We start from the raw sequence: 16,640 nt of genomic DNA on the forward strand, positions 1-16,640 counted from the left end.
TGCTGGAATGTAAGCTCAGTGAGAGCAGGGACCCCTCATCAAGGGGCAGCCTCATTTACTACCTTATCCCAAGAGCCTAGAATTGTGCCTGGTACATCCTTCATGGTCAATCAATATTTGTGGAATGAATAAACAAATGTTTATATTAGCTAGACACAGTGGCTGAGGCGAGAGGTTAGCTTGAGGCCAGGAGTTCGAGACCAGCCTGAGCAACATAGTGAGACCTCTGTCTCACAAAGAAATCTTTTTAAGTTTATATTTTCTATCAGGATACACAACTAACATTTTAAACTTATTTTGCTGTGACAAAGTTCATTCATTCCATTATCACAAGTCTATAAAATGAGACAAACTGTATACCTCATTATTATTCAAATGATCCATAACAACAATAGTTAGCATTTATTGACCACTAAGTATTAGACACTATAATAGTGCTTTATATGTATTGTCTCATCTTCACAAACTTTCCTGAGGCAAGTAACACCATTTTTCACTTTTAAGATGAGAAATTTGAGGCTTACAGGAGCTTCTCACTATCACAAAATCATCAGGTGGGAGAGCCAGCTTTTGAGGACCGGACAGTCGACCCAGAGTCCATGCTGTCAGCCTCCTCCACACAGCTATGTTCACATCAGGAAGTCTGTATTACTCAGCGGCTCCCTCTACCATCCTCTAAAGAAACCCTGCACTCTCTTAGCAGGGCCTGTGAGACCCCTCAAGATCAGCCCTGCCTCCTTCGCTAGTCTCCTTCCCATTACCTCTCCTCCCACCCTGACGGGAGCCCCTGCAGCTCCCAGACGCGGCCATGCCTTCCCCCATCTCCTTGCCATCCAATGCTGTGTTCCCTTCCTCTTCCCTGCCTAACTCCTACTCCTACTTCAAGGCTCAGCTCTTGCCCCAAGCTCCAGAACATTTCCTGGTCCTCTGGGCTGGGTTCTGTGACCATGCTCTACTGCTCCCAGCCCCCTGTGCCTGGCTTTGTGATTCTCAGTGAACGAAATGAGGTGCGGCTTTTCATCTCCAAATTTCCGGTTCTTAATTGGAACAGAGAAATTGACTAAATACTTTGAATGATGAACATTTGGGAATTGGCCATGTTTTACAAATTTAGGCACAGTGAGGCAAACAATCCCATTGTAAATAAGAGGGTTAGTGCTGGGCACAGTGGCTCACACCTGTAATCCCAGCACTTTGGGAGGCTTAGATGGGAGGATTCTTTGAGGCCAGGAGTTTGAGAACAGCCTGGTCAATATAGTGAGACCTCCTTCTCTACAAACAAACACACAAACAAAATAATTAAAAATTAGCCAGGCATGGTGGCACAGGCCTGTAGTCTCAGCTACTTAGGAGGCTGAGGTGGGAGGATCATTTGAGTCTCGGAGCTCAAGGCTGCAGTGAGCTATGGTCACGCCACAGCACTCCAGCGTAGGTGACAGAGCAAGACTTTGTGTCTTAAAAAAAATTAAAAAGGTTAGAATGTGGTCCATGGAAGTCCTCAAAGGTACAATCGCATGAAGCTGAGAAGCAGCAGCATGGAGCAGGGGGTACTCAGACCATCAACTGGCAGAACCAGATCTTTCCTCTCATTCCCACCCCAAGAGACTTTTCCGACTCATCCAGCTGGAAGCAGAGAGGCTAGGATTTCCCCCTCAGGTGTCTGACCCAGAGCTTGCATGCTAATCTCTAAGGCAATGGCATCTCAACTCTGCTGGGCCTTTATTTGTGTGTCCTTTCAATGGTTATATTTGCCTGTATTTGCCCAGAATAACTAATTTAATGAAAGCATTTTAAAAAGATGTTATAAATGGCTAAATATCTAGTGATAGGTGCCATACAAATATTTAGATACAAAGGGTCTAAATCCAGATTATTTTTCTGGGGGAACCATTATTAATGTAATGATAAAATAGTACATTGTGGAAATGTACACACAAGAGAGAAGGAGAGAGAGAAGAGAAAGAGAGAGAAGCTGCATACACTTGCTATTTCACAACAATGATGCAATCCAACAGTTTACAAAGATAATTCCTTTAGACAGATACTGACTAAAACTCACAAGGGGCAGGGCCCTGGGCCCGGCAAGGAGTTAGTCACAGCTCCTGGGCCTCAGCAGGGAACACTGAGTAAGATACAAGTACTTGCCCTTCCTGGGCTTGATAGCTCACAACTGTAATCCCAGTGCTTTGGGAGGCCAAAGCAAGAGGATTGCTTGAGACCAGGAGTTCAAGAGCAGCCTGGGCAACATGGCAAAAACCCATCTCTACAGAAAAATACAAAAATTAGCTGGGGGTGGTGGCGCACGCCTGTAGTCCCAGCCATTCAGGACACGGACATGAACCTGGACCCAGGAGTTCGAGGCTGCAGTGAGCTGTGATCATGCCACTGCACTCAGGCCTGGGTGGCACAGCAAGACTCTGTCTCAAAAAAAAAGTATTTTCCCTTGAGGTTGGAGCCACAAGGACCACGAGTTTAGCAGGGGCTCCTGCCGGCTACTCCAAGCAACTCTCCCAACACTCACTGCTCTCTTCTGCAGAAACAAACTGCTTCCATTTCCCCAAACGTGCTCTGCCGGTTCACACCTCTGTGCCTTTGCATGTTTCCTTTGACTGGGATGCTCGGTCTGTGCAGAGTGGACATGTGTCATGTTTTTTGGCTGCCTAGCATTGTTTGAAAACCCCAGCTATGTTCTGGAAATTTCCTAACACATGAGTGAGTCCTACCTCTCCAAGGCAGATGCCAGAGATCCCAATCAGCCAGGCTTCTATGCAGAGCAGGGTACAGGCACATGACCCAGCCTCCCTCCATCAGCTGCATCTACATGAGATACCAACTTAGAGATAAGCAATCCAAGGCAGTGGACGCAGTGTGAAAGTGATGTATCAGGCAAAGCTGGTAACACAGGCAAACAGCTTAGAAGGAGCAAAGGTTACTGGGCTGTGGCCCTGGTATGAGAAGGGGCAACATCGCAAACCATCACATCCAGAGCTCTAGGGGGGCAACAGCAGTGGTTTCCACTGCAGGCCAGGTCTGCGGTGGGCATAGGGCCTTGTTGCAGGAAGCTATTCACGGCATTCCACCTCCCCATCCAGCAAGTAGAAGAGTCACTCTACAACCTTTTAATCCTTTTAATCAATCTCTTCTGTGCTTCTGTTGATTACAACTAAAAGCCTGGCTTATTTGCAACTCTCCTGGCCCCTGGAGTAGATGATACACCAACTACATTCATCCTCATAACAAAGGACCAGATGCCATTTATGTTGGCATGGAGGTCTCCTGTGGGCCTCCGCTGAAACTTCTATTCCATCCCTCACTCATTTCCTCCGGGGATGCCCCCCTACCCACACACCTCTTGCAGCATACCCACCCCTGAATTATAGTTGCTTGTTTCTTCCTCCTCTGCTTCGACAATGATTTCTTTTTTTTCTTTTTTTCTTTTTTTTTTTTTTGAGATTGAGTCTCACTCTGTCACCCAGGCTGGAGTGCAGTGGCGTGATCTCAGCTCACTGCAAGCTCTGCCTCCTGGGTGCACACCATTCTCCTGCCTCAGCCTCCCGAGTAGCTGGGACTACAGGCACCCGCCACCACACCTGGCTAATTTTTTTTGTACTTTTAGTAGAGATGGGGTTTCACCGTGTTAGGCAGGATGGTCTCGATCTCCTGATCTCATGATCCACCTGCCTTGGCCTCCCGAAGTGCTGGGATTAGAGGCGTGAGCCACCTCGCCTGGCGACAGTGATTTCTTTGAAGCTAGCCATTGGCTCTTTCACTTCTGCATTTCCAGCAGTTAGTTTGGGTTGACAGCATCCAGCACAGGATAGGTGCTAAAGGGAAGTCTGTCGTGGATAGGAAGGGATGCTCCAATTTGGCTTCTGAGAACCAGGAATCAGAAACAGGTGCTCTGGGGTGGCTGCGTCTAACACAGATTTCAGTGAATGGCAGGGATTTCAACAAGCAGAATTGGTTGGGATCATCCTGCCCTTACTGACATGTAATCTGCTTTTTAAAAATTATCATAACCCTCAGCATTTTTCTATATCCTTAATATGCTGTAGGGGACATTCTCAGTTGCCTAACAACACTTCCCTCACCCTTCTTTTTTTCAGGTGTGGGTGTTGATGTCTCAGGGAAGGTGGTCCCTTCCCACAGCCCCAAGGGGATGGGTCCTCATTGCTCCAAACCAGGGGTTGACAAACTACAGCCTGCTACCCAAATCTGGCCTACCACCTGTGTTTGTATGACCTCATACCATACAAAATGCTTTTTACACTTTTAATTTGCTGGAAAAAGAACAAAAAAAATGCTTTGTAAGAGGTAAAAAATATATGAAATTCAAATTTCAGTGTCCACAGTGACATTGGAACACAGGCATATGTATTTGTTTCCAGTGTCTCTAGCTGCTTTGGCTCTACAAGAGCAGAGCTGACTAGATGTGACATGGACCCCACGCCCTGCAAAGCCTGAAATATTTACTGGCTGGTCCTCTTCAGAAGAACTTTGCTGACCCTATTCTCAAGCGATCATGCTAACACCAGTCTCCTCTGAGTGTTGATTTTTGGGAGGAGTATGAGACCCATTTCTAAGCCAATGAAACACAAGGGGAAGCCTGACAGAGGGCTGCTGGGAAAGATTGTTTTCTCTGATGAGAGGAAGATATGTGAGCGTGCTTCCTTCCTGCCTTTGGATGTTGCATGTGCGGATGTGATAGGCAGAGCTGTGGCAGCCATCTTGCAGTCATGAGGGAAAGGCTAAGAGACTTACAGAGAAGCTGCCCCAGATACTCTTGAGCAGTTAAATTAATCAGCTCTGGAAACTCCTACTTCTAGAATTTTTTAATTCTAGAATTTAAATTTCTAATCAGCAGCCAAGAACATGTAATGGGAACTAAAATTGCATAATCAAAAGGAAGTTTTCTTCTTTCTTGTTTTTTTTCCAGATGGAGTTTCACTCTTGTCGCACAGGCTGGAGTGTGCAATGGAGTGATCTCGGCTCGCTGAAACCTTGGTCTCCCGGACTCCAGCGATTCGCCTGCCTCAGCCTCCCAAGTAGCTGGGATTACAGGCACCCGCCACCATGCCCGGCTAATTTTTTTTTTGTATTTTTAGTAGAGACGGGGTTTCACCATGTTGGCCAGGCTGGTCTTGAACTCCTGAAATCAGGTGATCCACTAGCCTGGGCTTCCCAAAGTGCTGGGATTACAGGCATGAGTCCCCGTGCTGGGCCCCTCTTCTTTCTTATTAACTAAAAATACATTTGAGTCAGAGATGTTTTATGCTCTTGATCTATTTGCAACCCCAATTAACTCACTTTGTTAAAACACGCCCCACGTGGTGTCAGGACCAGGGATACATTTTGTGAAATTATTTCTCCTTTTAGTGTCATTAACCAGTGCATTATGGAATTCTGTAGAATAGCAAATGCTCATTTTTCCATGCAGCCATTCTGTCTGTCCTCTCACCTCTGACCCACATCACACCTGCCACCCATCACAAAGCCAGTTGCATTGAAGTCTCTGACTTGTGCAATCCCCAGTGTAGCAAACAGTCACCTGGAGCAGAGAGGTCAGTGTGTTGACATGTTTGCTGTCTGGGGCCTACATGTAAAATGCTCTTGAGTTGAGCTACCTCTATAGAGAGCAGTGATCCATGTCCCTAAAATGCTGTTCTCAAGAGGCCATAGGATCCCTAGGAAATTACACTCAGAACAAAGTTTGCAAGGACACTTTCTTGATTTAGTGCCAACCAGGTGATTTTGAAATCAGTTCTCTGAGCATCTGAGAGATAGGAAGCATTTTAACATCAATATCTTCATTTCTCTTCCTAAAATAAAGACAGCAGAAAGAGCACTGTTGTGGGGGATTTTAAGCTGCTGAGGTGATTTTTATAAAATACTGTGGAAGGAGATCTATCCCGAAAGAAAGAACTTCCAGTTCTTGCAGCTCTCTTGCTTTTAACAAGAATCTCTGGGAGGGAGCACCACACAGTGTAGCGGCTGAGCACCTGACCTTCTGAGTTGGACAGAACTTTATTGAGTCCCTGCTCTTCTCTTCACACCTGTGTAACTTTGGGGAGTGACCCAGCCTCTCTAAGCCTTGGTTTCTCCCTCATCCTCATTCTTCCCGGCCATTGGGCTAGGCAAGGGGACAGAGCAAGTAAGTTGGACAGTGGACAAATGGATGAGAGTTTGTGTAAAAAAAGAGGTAACTTTGTAGATTAGGGATTAAAAATCTGAGCACAATTCAGATTGTTTCTTATAGAACAAATTGAGGCTGATGGTTGCAAAGGGGAGGCGTAGAGAGGAGAAATGTGGAAGGCTCGGCAATGATGAGAGTTTGGAATAGCCCTTGTGAGGACAGGAGAGGAAGGGGCTCAAGGAAGACAAGACAAAGCACTAGGGTGGGGCCCAGTGGCTTGCGGAAAATACCAAGCGCCCTGCACGGTGGATTCTTCCAGCAGACTGAGCACAGGGGGTTCAGAGGAGCTGGTAATGCAGTCATACTGTGGCTGGGGTTTACAAAAGGTTAAGTGACTCACTAAAGGTCACACAGGGACATTTACACAAACATCCTGGCCCCAAGTCCAGTGCTCTAATCTGTAACAGGGTCTATCCTTTTTTTTTTTTTTTTGAGACAGGGTCTTGGTCAGTCACACAGGCTGGAGTGCAATGATGTGAACACCGCACACTGCAGCCTCGCCCTTCCAGGCTCTAGTGATCCTCCTGCCTCGGCCTCCCAGTGTTGGGATTATAGGCATGAGCCACCATACTCAGCCAAGTCTGTCCTTAATCAGGGTTCTTTTGGGTCTCATTTTCTTAAGCTGCAAAAGCCACTGGACCAGGTGATACTGCCAACACCTCTAGGCTGCTGTAACTGTAGTTTCGGCTCCTGGATCTGCTTCCAATTAGTTATGTTCCCTGTCACTTTGGGTAAGTCATCCCAGCTCCATGGCTTGCTTCTGGAACTCAATTATGGTCCAGAAGCCCAAGTTCTAAAGTGCTGATTCTGATGAGTGCCCATTTACCAGGCACTCTGATCCCATCATAGCATCTACTACAGCCTGGGAGGTCTATTCATGTGTGCATTCATGTTAAGCACTATCACCAATCAAATCACTTAAATTACATAGGTAATAATCCAACAGCACATCCAAACAAGGCTGAAAATTGTAAAAGAAAATTACACTGTGTGTGTGTGTGTGTGTGTGTGTGTGTGTGTGTGTGTTTAAGAGACAAGATTGCTCTCTGTCACCCAGGCTGGAGTGCAACAGTGCCATCATAGCTCACTGTGGCCTCCAATTCCTGGCATCAAGCAATCTTCCTGCCTTGGCCTCCCAAGTAGCTAAGACTATAGGCATTTCTCACCACACCCTGTTTAAGGAAGAAGATTGTGTTGAAAATGAAAATCAATACACAAAGGCTGAACCAAAGCAATGGGAAGGCGGTGGCTGCGTGTTATGTTGAGTGGCTGTCTCAAGTAGACCAAAACCCTTCTCACCCTTTGTCTTAGGGCATTAAAGGAAATTACTCTGGGCAGGCCGGGCGCAGTGGCTCACACCTGTAATCCCAGCACTTTGGGAGGCCGAGGCAGAAGGATCACTTGAGGTCAGGAGTTTGAGACCAGCCTGGCCAACATGGTGAAACCCCGTTTCTACCAAAAACATAAAAAATTATCAGGGTGTGGCCAGGCGCAGTGGCCCACGCCTGTAATCCCAGCACTTTGGGAGGCCAAGGCGGGTGGATCACTTGAAGTCAGGAGTTCGAAACCAGTCTGGCCAACGTGGTGAAACCCCGTTTCTACCAAAAAATACTAAAAAGTAGCCGGGCATAGTGGCAGGCACCTGTAATCCCAGCTACTTGGGAGGCTGAGGCAGAAGAATCGCTTGTACCCAGGAGATGGAGGTTGCAGTGAGCCGAGATTGCACCATTGCACTCCAGCCTGGGCAACACAGCAAGACTCAATCTCAAAAAAAAAAAAAAAAAAAGATACTACCTTTCTCCTTCCAGAAGCAATGTGCTTTACCTTTGGGATGAATCCATTTGATGCATAGTGTAGTGTTGTTCAAAGCATGGCAGAAGACAAGAGTAGTGTCCATTATTATTAACACCTTGTGAGTCAGGGTGAGGGGTGGAATGTGCCCAGTACTGCTGGAATACAGCTCAGAGATGAAGCCCCTTGTCCATTGTCACCTGACTGGGATAGGCAGGTGATGTGGTTCTTCACTTCAAGCCTGGCAGTCTTCAGAACCCTTGTAGTGCAAAAATAACACCATACGGTCCCTCCCAGGAAACGCCACTTACTGTCCTTACTAGTGTTGGGAAAGAAAGGACACTCTTAGAAATGTCTTTAAAAATGAGACTGATAATGGACTGTGTCTTAGAGCCATGAAAGGAAAGGAGAAGTTGTAGGATTTGCTGGGAATGTCAACTAACCAGAGCCTAGTGACCTGAGCCCAAGGGCAGGCTGAAGCTTCCTTGGCACAGGAGGGTGCTGCCTGTGATACGGGGGGCAGTGCTGGCACCATGCAAGCTACTCCTTAGAAAGATCAGCTTGAATATGCAGGAAGAGCAGGACCCTCGGCTGAGGCACATGGCGGAATGGGAAGTGCATGGTGGTAATTTAGTTCTCCAGAGTTCTTGTTGTCTTGGGACCAGGAGGCATGGTTGGAATGCTGATTGCCCAAAGGGAGACCGTGGACTACTCTGGCCTCCCACAGAATTCCCATAGTGGTTGCAGCTCCCTGGACTGGGGAGGCCAGAGGGGGCGTTGCCCACTGCTCTCCTTATCCAGGACACCCCCTACCCACCACCACCAACAGATGAGTATGGTCATGAGTGTGGTCACCTCTCATCCAGTCATTAGCTCAATTGTGAAAAAGAAATTGTTGTTCAGAGAAGAGCAAAGTGTTTTTCTATGAGCCAAAGCTTGGTCAAGGTATGCTAATGAGGAGCACTAGACAGAATGCCTCACAAACACTGATAAGGAGTACTGGGAAGGGCACTTCTCCCAGGACAGAGCTCACAAGGAGTGTCCTGGCCCCAGAAGCAGGAGAACTGAAGGCTGGCAGGAGTCTGCCCAGTAGTCTCTGCAGTGCCCAGTAGGCACTGTGTGCCTTCAGGCTACAGCCTCCCAGGCCCTGTGCCCCATCTTCTCCCCCACACCACACGGGGGAGGAGGCTGACCCTGAGAATGGTGCAACCATCTGCCTGCCCCTGGGCGCCTCTCACCAGCAGGTGAATGCTGTTGGGCTCAGTTCTGTCTGCAGTAGGAGCGTGTTTAGCCACATGAGAGAGTCTCACCTTTGACATTTTATATCCTTCAGTCAATCAAAGATCTAGAATTTATAGTGATAGAATTAAAAAGTTTAACTTTTCCTACTTATGGGCATACAGGTATTTGGGTGCCATCTTTATAATTTACAATTAGTTTGAAAGATAGAAATTGCAACCATAAGGTTGGGAGCCTGGTATGTAAGGCATTTGCCGGTGGGCATGTTTTGAACATGTATTGTTGGGCCCTTATACGTACTGTCACTTATCTGTTCCCATCACCGTTGGACAGGTATTTCTCCCTGTGCTGGCAAAACAGGCACACCTCTCACTAAGGCAGAGCTGCCACAAGTAGTCTAACTCCTGAGGACAACAAACCCCTTTGCTGGGGGGAAGGGATGGGAGGAGGAACAAGACTTGAGAGGCGGCTGGGCAGAGGACACAGAAACCTCCGTTCTACTGTGAGGCCCGAGGAATGCAAATGGAAAGTAGGACTCCCACTTATGAGATCTTGTAGAAAAGAGGCCCAGAGAAGGGGCAGTAGATTTGTTCAAGGTTACACAGCTAGATGGTGTGAAGACAGGGCAGGACTGTGGTCCCTGGGTCCCTTGTCTGATGTTGTTGCAGTCTCTGCATTAGTGCTCCATAATGGGTCTGTGGTGTGCCCGGATGTAAGGGTTGGTTTGGAGCATTTCCACCCTGGCTCTCTGGACATGGAACTTGCTGGACTTTGGGATTTTTCTGTCAGCCATTGATAGGAGCAGAGTGTTGTTGTGTTTTGTGGCAGAGACCACCCATGGAAGTGATCGACTGTAAGCACAGAGCCAGCTGCAGCCCGAGGTGATGTGGATGGAGCCTAAATGTGTTGTTCTGTGTGTCTCTCCTTTTCCTTTTAAACAAAGTTTCCCTCACCACACAGGTTTTCAGCCAGCTCATCTACTCTCAAGTGCTGGGAAGTTCGTATTTCCCTATCTGCAGTGGCTGTAAGAGATCTAGAGACCTAGAGAGCTAGTATGATAGTATGAAGGAGGATTTGAAGAAGTTAGTTAGGTAATTAGATAATTATTGAAATGAGGCAACATGGATCCCAAAAGTTAAATAGTCTTAAAGGGAAACTTGGTACCACTTTAAGACTTAGTCATTCAACAACTCTGAAACAATGCAGTCACTACTTTGAGTACTGTTGCAGGGTGCCTTGTTTGGCATAGTTGGGGAATGTGGCATTTCAGATCATTGAAGTTTATCCCCTCAAATGCCAAAATTAAAAACAACCCCAAACCTTTTTGGATTGGAGTTTCTTGAAAATGATATGCTTCCCTGCCCTGTTAAACTGAACCTTTACGGATGGCCTCCAGAGGGGTGTGAGGGTCTCACCTCTGCTTGGGTGGGCCTGGTCCTGTGATGTGAGTCTGCTTCTCTCTTCTCATCTCTCTGCCCTCTACTTCAGAGCTGTCCCTTCCTTGAGACACTGTCTCTGCCCTGATAGGTTTCCTCTATATCTCATGATTTACCAACTCTATGTCAAGGACTGAAAATCCAAACCACCACCCTTGGTAAAGTGTTACGTATGACATAGTGTGAGTGCTGTGGAATAAGAGGCTTGGCTGGCCACCACACTGCCTAAAGAATGTTTTTATGTGTCTTGTAAGGAGAATAAGATCAGACTTCTGATCTTATTCTAGGCAAGTGGAGAAATATAATCTCTGTCATTTATTCATGGCTTTATGGACTTGATAGATCTTTGAGAACCTACTAGGTGTCAGGCTCCATGGTTAGTACTGGCATTCAGAACAGTCTTCACTCACTTGAGGGCACAGTGAGTACCATGATGATGTCATCAGTGGTAAATTACATGGGAAGGTAGCTTACCCTCACAGAGGACGGGAGACAGTTGTTGCTAGCATTTGTATATTCATTAGTCTCCCACATCCTCCCAGTTGGAAATGTAACTATCCCAGATAGACAGCATATGTGTATTGTAGGAACCTGTAATGCCCGAACTGTTCAGGACGATCACATTAAAATATTAATGTGCTGAGTTAAATGCTTTATTTAGCTTATCTGCATCTAGGCTATCCAAATTACACAGCCACTTAAAAAATTCTAACCATCACCTCTTCTCTTGGAATAATTAAATTATTTTGATGTAATTCAGATCTCATTTTATCGTAGCCCAGCAGTACCTGGGAGAGAATGACTCTAAATTTATGATAGTAAAATCATATTAAATTGTATTTCACTAATTCAGAAATGGGGATAATTTGACAATTAAAGGCAGAAGTGTGTCATTCCTCTCCTGGAAGAAATGAACAGTAATGATGGGATCACAGAGATTGTATTGCTTGTTGCTTAAAAAAGAGATCAAGCAGTTTTCAAACTCTTTGGAAAAGTTGGTTTATCTGCCAAGAAATAATTGAGAATTATTCTTAATGGCCCCTCCCTCAACTCCACTTTTCAGACTTTAGATGGAATAACTATGCATAATGTCAAAGTCAGGAAGTTGCATTTTTTAAATTATACTTTAAGTTCTGGGGTACATGTGCAGAATGTGAAGTTTCGTTACATAGGTTTACACATGCCACGGTGGTTTGCTGCACCCCTCAACCTGTCATTTACATTAGGTATTTTTCCTACTGTTATCCCTCCCCTAGCCCCTCACCCAACAGGCCCCAGTGTGTGATGTTCCCCTCCCTATGTCCGTGTGTTTTCATTGTTCAACTCCCACCTATGAGGGAGAACATGTGGTGTTTGGTTTTCTGATCTTGTGATAGTTTGCTGAGGATGATGGTTTCCAGCTTCACACATGTCCCTGCAAAGGACATAAATTCATCCTTTTTAATGGCTGCATAGTATTTCATGGTATATATGTGCCACATTTTCTTTATCCAGTCTATTATGGATGGACATTTGGGTTGGTTCCAAATCTTTGGAATTGTGAATAGTGCCATAATAAACATAACTGTGCATGTGTCTTTATAGTGGAATGATTTATAATCCTTTGGGTATATACCCAGTAATGAGATTGCTGGATCAAATGGTATTTCTAGTTCTAGATCCTTGAGGAATCGCCACACTACCTTCCACAATGGTTGAACTAATTTACACTCCCTCCAACAGTGTAAAAGCATCCTTATTTCTCCACATCCTCTCCAGCATCTGTTGTTTCCTGACTTTTTAATGATCACCATTCTAACTGGCATGAGATGGTATCTCATTGTGGTTTTGATTTACATTTCTCTAGTGACCAGTGATGATGAGCATTTTTCCATATGTCTGTTGGCTGCGTAAAAGTCTTCCTTTGAGAAGTGTCTGTTCATATCCTTTGCCCACTTTTTGATGGGGTTTTGTTTTTTTCTTGTAAATTTCTTGTAAATTTTCTAGTAAAGTTCTTTGTAGATTCTGGATATTAGCCCTGTGTCCAATGGATAGATTGCAAAAATTTTCTCCCATTCTGTAGGTTGCCTGTTCACTCTGATGATAGTTTCTTTTGCTGCGCAGAAGCTCTTTAATTAGATCCCACTTGTCAATTTTCGCTTTTGTTGCCATTACTTTTGGTGTTTTAGACATGAAGTCTCTGCCCATGCCTATGTCCTGAATGGTATTGCCCCGGTTTTTTTCTAGAATTTTTATGGTCCTAGGCCTTACATTTAAGTCTCTGATCCATCTTGATTTTTGCATAAGGTGTAAGGAAGGGGTAAAGAGATCAATGCAGCAAGAAGAGCTAACTGTCCTAAATATATATGCATCCAATACAGGAGCACACAGATTCATAAAGCATGTTCTTAAGAGACCTACAAAGAGACTTAGACTCCCACACAATAATAGTGGGAGACTTTAACACCCCACTGTCAATATTAGACAGATCAACGAGACAGAAATTTAACAACGACATTCAGGACTTGAACTCAGTTCTGGACCAAGCGGACCTAATAGACATCTATAGAACTCACCACCCCAAGTCCACAGAATATACATTCTTTTCAGCACCTCATTACAGTTATTCTAAAATGGGCCAAATAATTGGAAGTAAAACACTCCTCAGCAAATGCAAAACAATGGAAATCATAACAAACAGTCTCTCAGATCACACTGCAATCAGATTAGAACTCAGGATTAAGAAACTCACTCAAAACCGCACAACTACATGGAAACTGAACAACCTGCTCTGGAATGACTACTGGGTAAATAACGAAATGAAGGCAGAAATAAAGATGTTCTTTGAAACCAATAAGAACAAAGACACAACATACCAGAATCTCTGGGACACATTTAAAGCAGTGTGTAGAGGGAAATTTATAGCACTAAATGCCCACAAGAGAAAGCAGGAAAGATATAAAATTGACACCCTAATATCAAAATTAAAAGACTAGAGAAGCAACAGCAAACAAATTCAAAATCTACCAGAAGACAAGAAATAACTAAGACCATAGCAGAACTGAAAGAGATAGAGACACGAAAAACGCTTCAAAAATCAATGAATCCAGGAGCTGGTTTTATGAAAAGATCAACAAAGTAGATAGACTGCTAGACAGACTCATAAAGAAGAAAAGAGAGAAGAGTCAAATAGATGCAATAAAAAATGATATAGGGGATATCACCACTGATCCTGCAGAAATACAAACTACCATCAAAGAATACTATAAACACCTCTATGCAAATGAACTAGAAAATCTAGAAGAAATGGATAAATTCCTGGCAACATACAGCCTCCACAGTCTAAACCAGGAAGAAGTCGAATCCCTGAATAAACCAGTAACAAGTTCTGAAATTGAGGCAGTAACTAATAGCCTACCAACTAAAAAAAGTCCAGGACCAGATGGATTCACAGGCAAATTCTACCAGAGGTACAAAGAGAAACTGGTACCAATCCTTTTGAAACTATTCCAAACAACGGAAAAAGAGGGAATCCTCCCTACTTCATTTTATGAGGCCAGCATCATCCTGATACCAAAACCTGGCAGAGACACAACAAAAAAAGGAAATTTCAGGCCAATATCCCTGATGAACATCGATGTGAAAATTCTCAATGAAACACTGGCAAACCGAATCCAGCAGCACATCAAAAAGCTTATCCACCACAATCAAGTCGGCTTCATCCCTGGGATGCAAGGCTGGTACAACATATGCAAATCAATAAACATAATCCATCACATAAACAGAACCAATGACAAAAACCACATGATTATTTCAATAGATGCAGAAAAGGCCTTTGACAAAATTCAACAACCCTTCATGCTAAAAACTCTCAGTAAACTAGGTATCAATGAAACGCATCTGAAAATAATAAGAGCTATTTATGACAGACCCACAGCCAATATCATAGTGAATGGGCAAAAACTGGAAGCATTCACTTTGAAAACTGGCACAAGACAAGGATGCCCTCTCTCACCACTCCTATTCAACATAGTATTGGAAGTTCTGGCCACGGCAATCAGGCAAGAGAAAGAAATAAAGCATATTCCAATAGGAAGAGAGGAAGTCAAATTGTCTCTGTCTGCAGATGACATGATTGCATATTTAGAAAACCCCATCGTCTCAGCCCAAAATCTCCTTAAGCTGATAAGCAACTTCAGCAAACTCTCAGGGTACAAAATCAATGTGCAAAAATCATAAGCATTCCTATACACCAATAATAGACAAACAGAGAGCCAAATCATGAGTGAACTCCCATTCACAATTGTTACTAAGAGAATAAAATACCTAGGAATACAACTTACAAGGGATGTGAACGAGCTCTTCAAGGAGAACTACAAACCACTGCTCAAGGAAATAAGAAAGGACACAAACAAATGGAAAAACATTCTATGCTCATGGATAGGAAGAATCAATATCGTGAAAATGGCCATATTGCCCGAAGTAATTTATAGACTCAATGCTATCCCCATCAAGCTACCACTGACTTTCTTCACAGACTTGGAAAAAACTACCTTAAACTTCATATGGAACCAAAAAAGAGCCCACATAGACAAGACAATCCTGGGCAAGAAGTACAAAGCTGGAGGCATCATGCTACCAGACTTCAAACTATACTACAAAGCTACAGCAAACAAAACAGCATGGTACTGGTACCAAAACAGATATATAGACCAATGGAGCAGAACAGGGGCCTCAGAAATAACACCACACATCTACAACCATCTGATCTTTGACAAACCTGACACAAACAAGCAATGGGGAGAAGATTCCCTATTTAATAAATGGTGTTGGGAAAACTGGCTAGCCATATACAATTCTTAAACATTTTTTGTAAGCCTTCTTTTGCATTTTGATAAAGCTTTAAGGGCTCCTTTCAGGTCCAGGGGGAGATGGTAAACACTAACCACTGGCAGTTATCATGACACTAACCCTAGTGTAGGTTCTGGGGATGTTGTAGGGTGGTTTCAGTTCAATCTTTTTCTTCTGTTTAGAATTTGTATTGAAATGATTTCACCTGGCTGGGCATGGTGGTTCACACCTGCAATCCCAGCACTTTGGGAGGCCAAGGCAAGTGGATCACCTGTGGTCAGGAGTTTGAGATTAGCATGGCCAACATGGTGAAACCCCATCTCTACTAAAAATACAAAAATTAGCTTGGCGTGGTGGCAGGCACCTATAATCCCAGCTACTTGGGAAGCTGAGGCAAAAGAATCACCTATACCTGGGAGACGGAGGTTGCAGTGAGCCAAGATTACAACACTGCACTCCAGCCTAGGCGACAGAGACTCTGTTTAAAAAAAAAAAAAGAAAAAGAAAGGTGGGTTCCCTTGCATTTTCTCAGACATTTCTGATCCTTCACCTCCTCAAATCTGGTTCAGACAACCTCTTCCACTACTCTGCATTTTGCTAATGGTATAAAAGTGGCCAGACATGGTGGCACATGCCTGTAATTCCAACACTTTGGGAGGCCGAGACGGGTGGATCACTGGAGGTCAGGAGTTCAAGACCAGCCTGGCCAACATGGTGAAACCCCATCTCTACTAAAAATACAAAAATTAGCCAAGCATGGTGGCATGCACGTATAGTCCCAGCTACTGGGGAGGCTGAGGTGAGAGAATCACCTGAGCCCAGGAGGTTGAGGCTGCAGTGAGCCAAGATCCTACTACTGCACTCCAGTCTTGGCAACCAGAGTGAGACCACGTCTCAAAAAGTACAAAATAAAAATAAAAAATTTTGTTTAATTAGCCAGGTGTGGTGGCACGCACCTGTAATCCCAGCTACTCAGGAGACTGAGGTAGGAGAATCACTTGAACCTAGGAGGTAGAGGTTGCAGTGAGCCGAGATCGTGCCACTGCACTCCAGCCTGGGTGACAGAGTGAGACTGTCTCAAAAAAAAAAAGAAAGTGTTTAATAAAAAAGTAGCATCCAGCACCAATGAGGAAATAATAATGATTCCCTGT

Source organism: Homo sapiens, chromosome 13, assembly GCF_000001405.40.
Source record: "Homo sapiens chromosome 13, GRCh38.p14 Primary Assembly".
Taxonomy (NCBI): domain Eukaryota; kingdom Metazoa; phylum Chordata; class Mammalia; order Primates; family Hominidae; genus Homo; species Homo sapiens.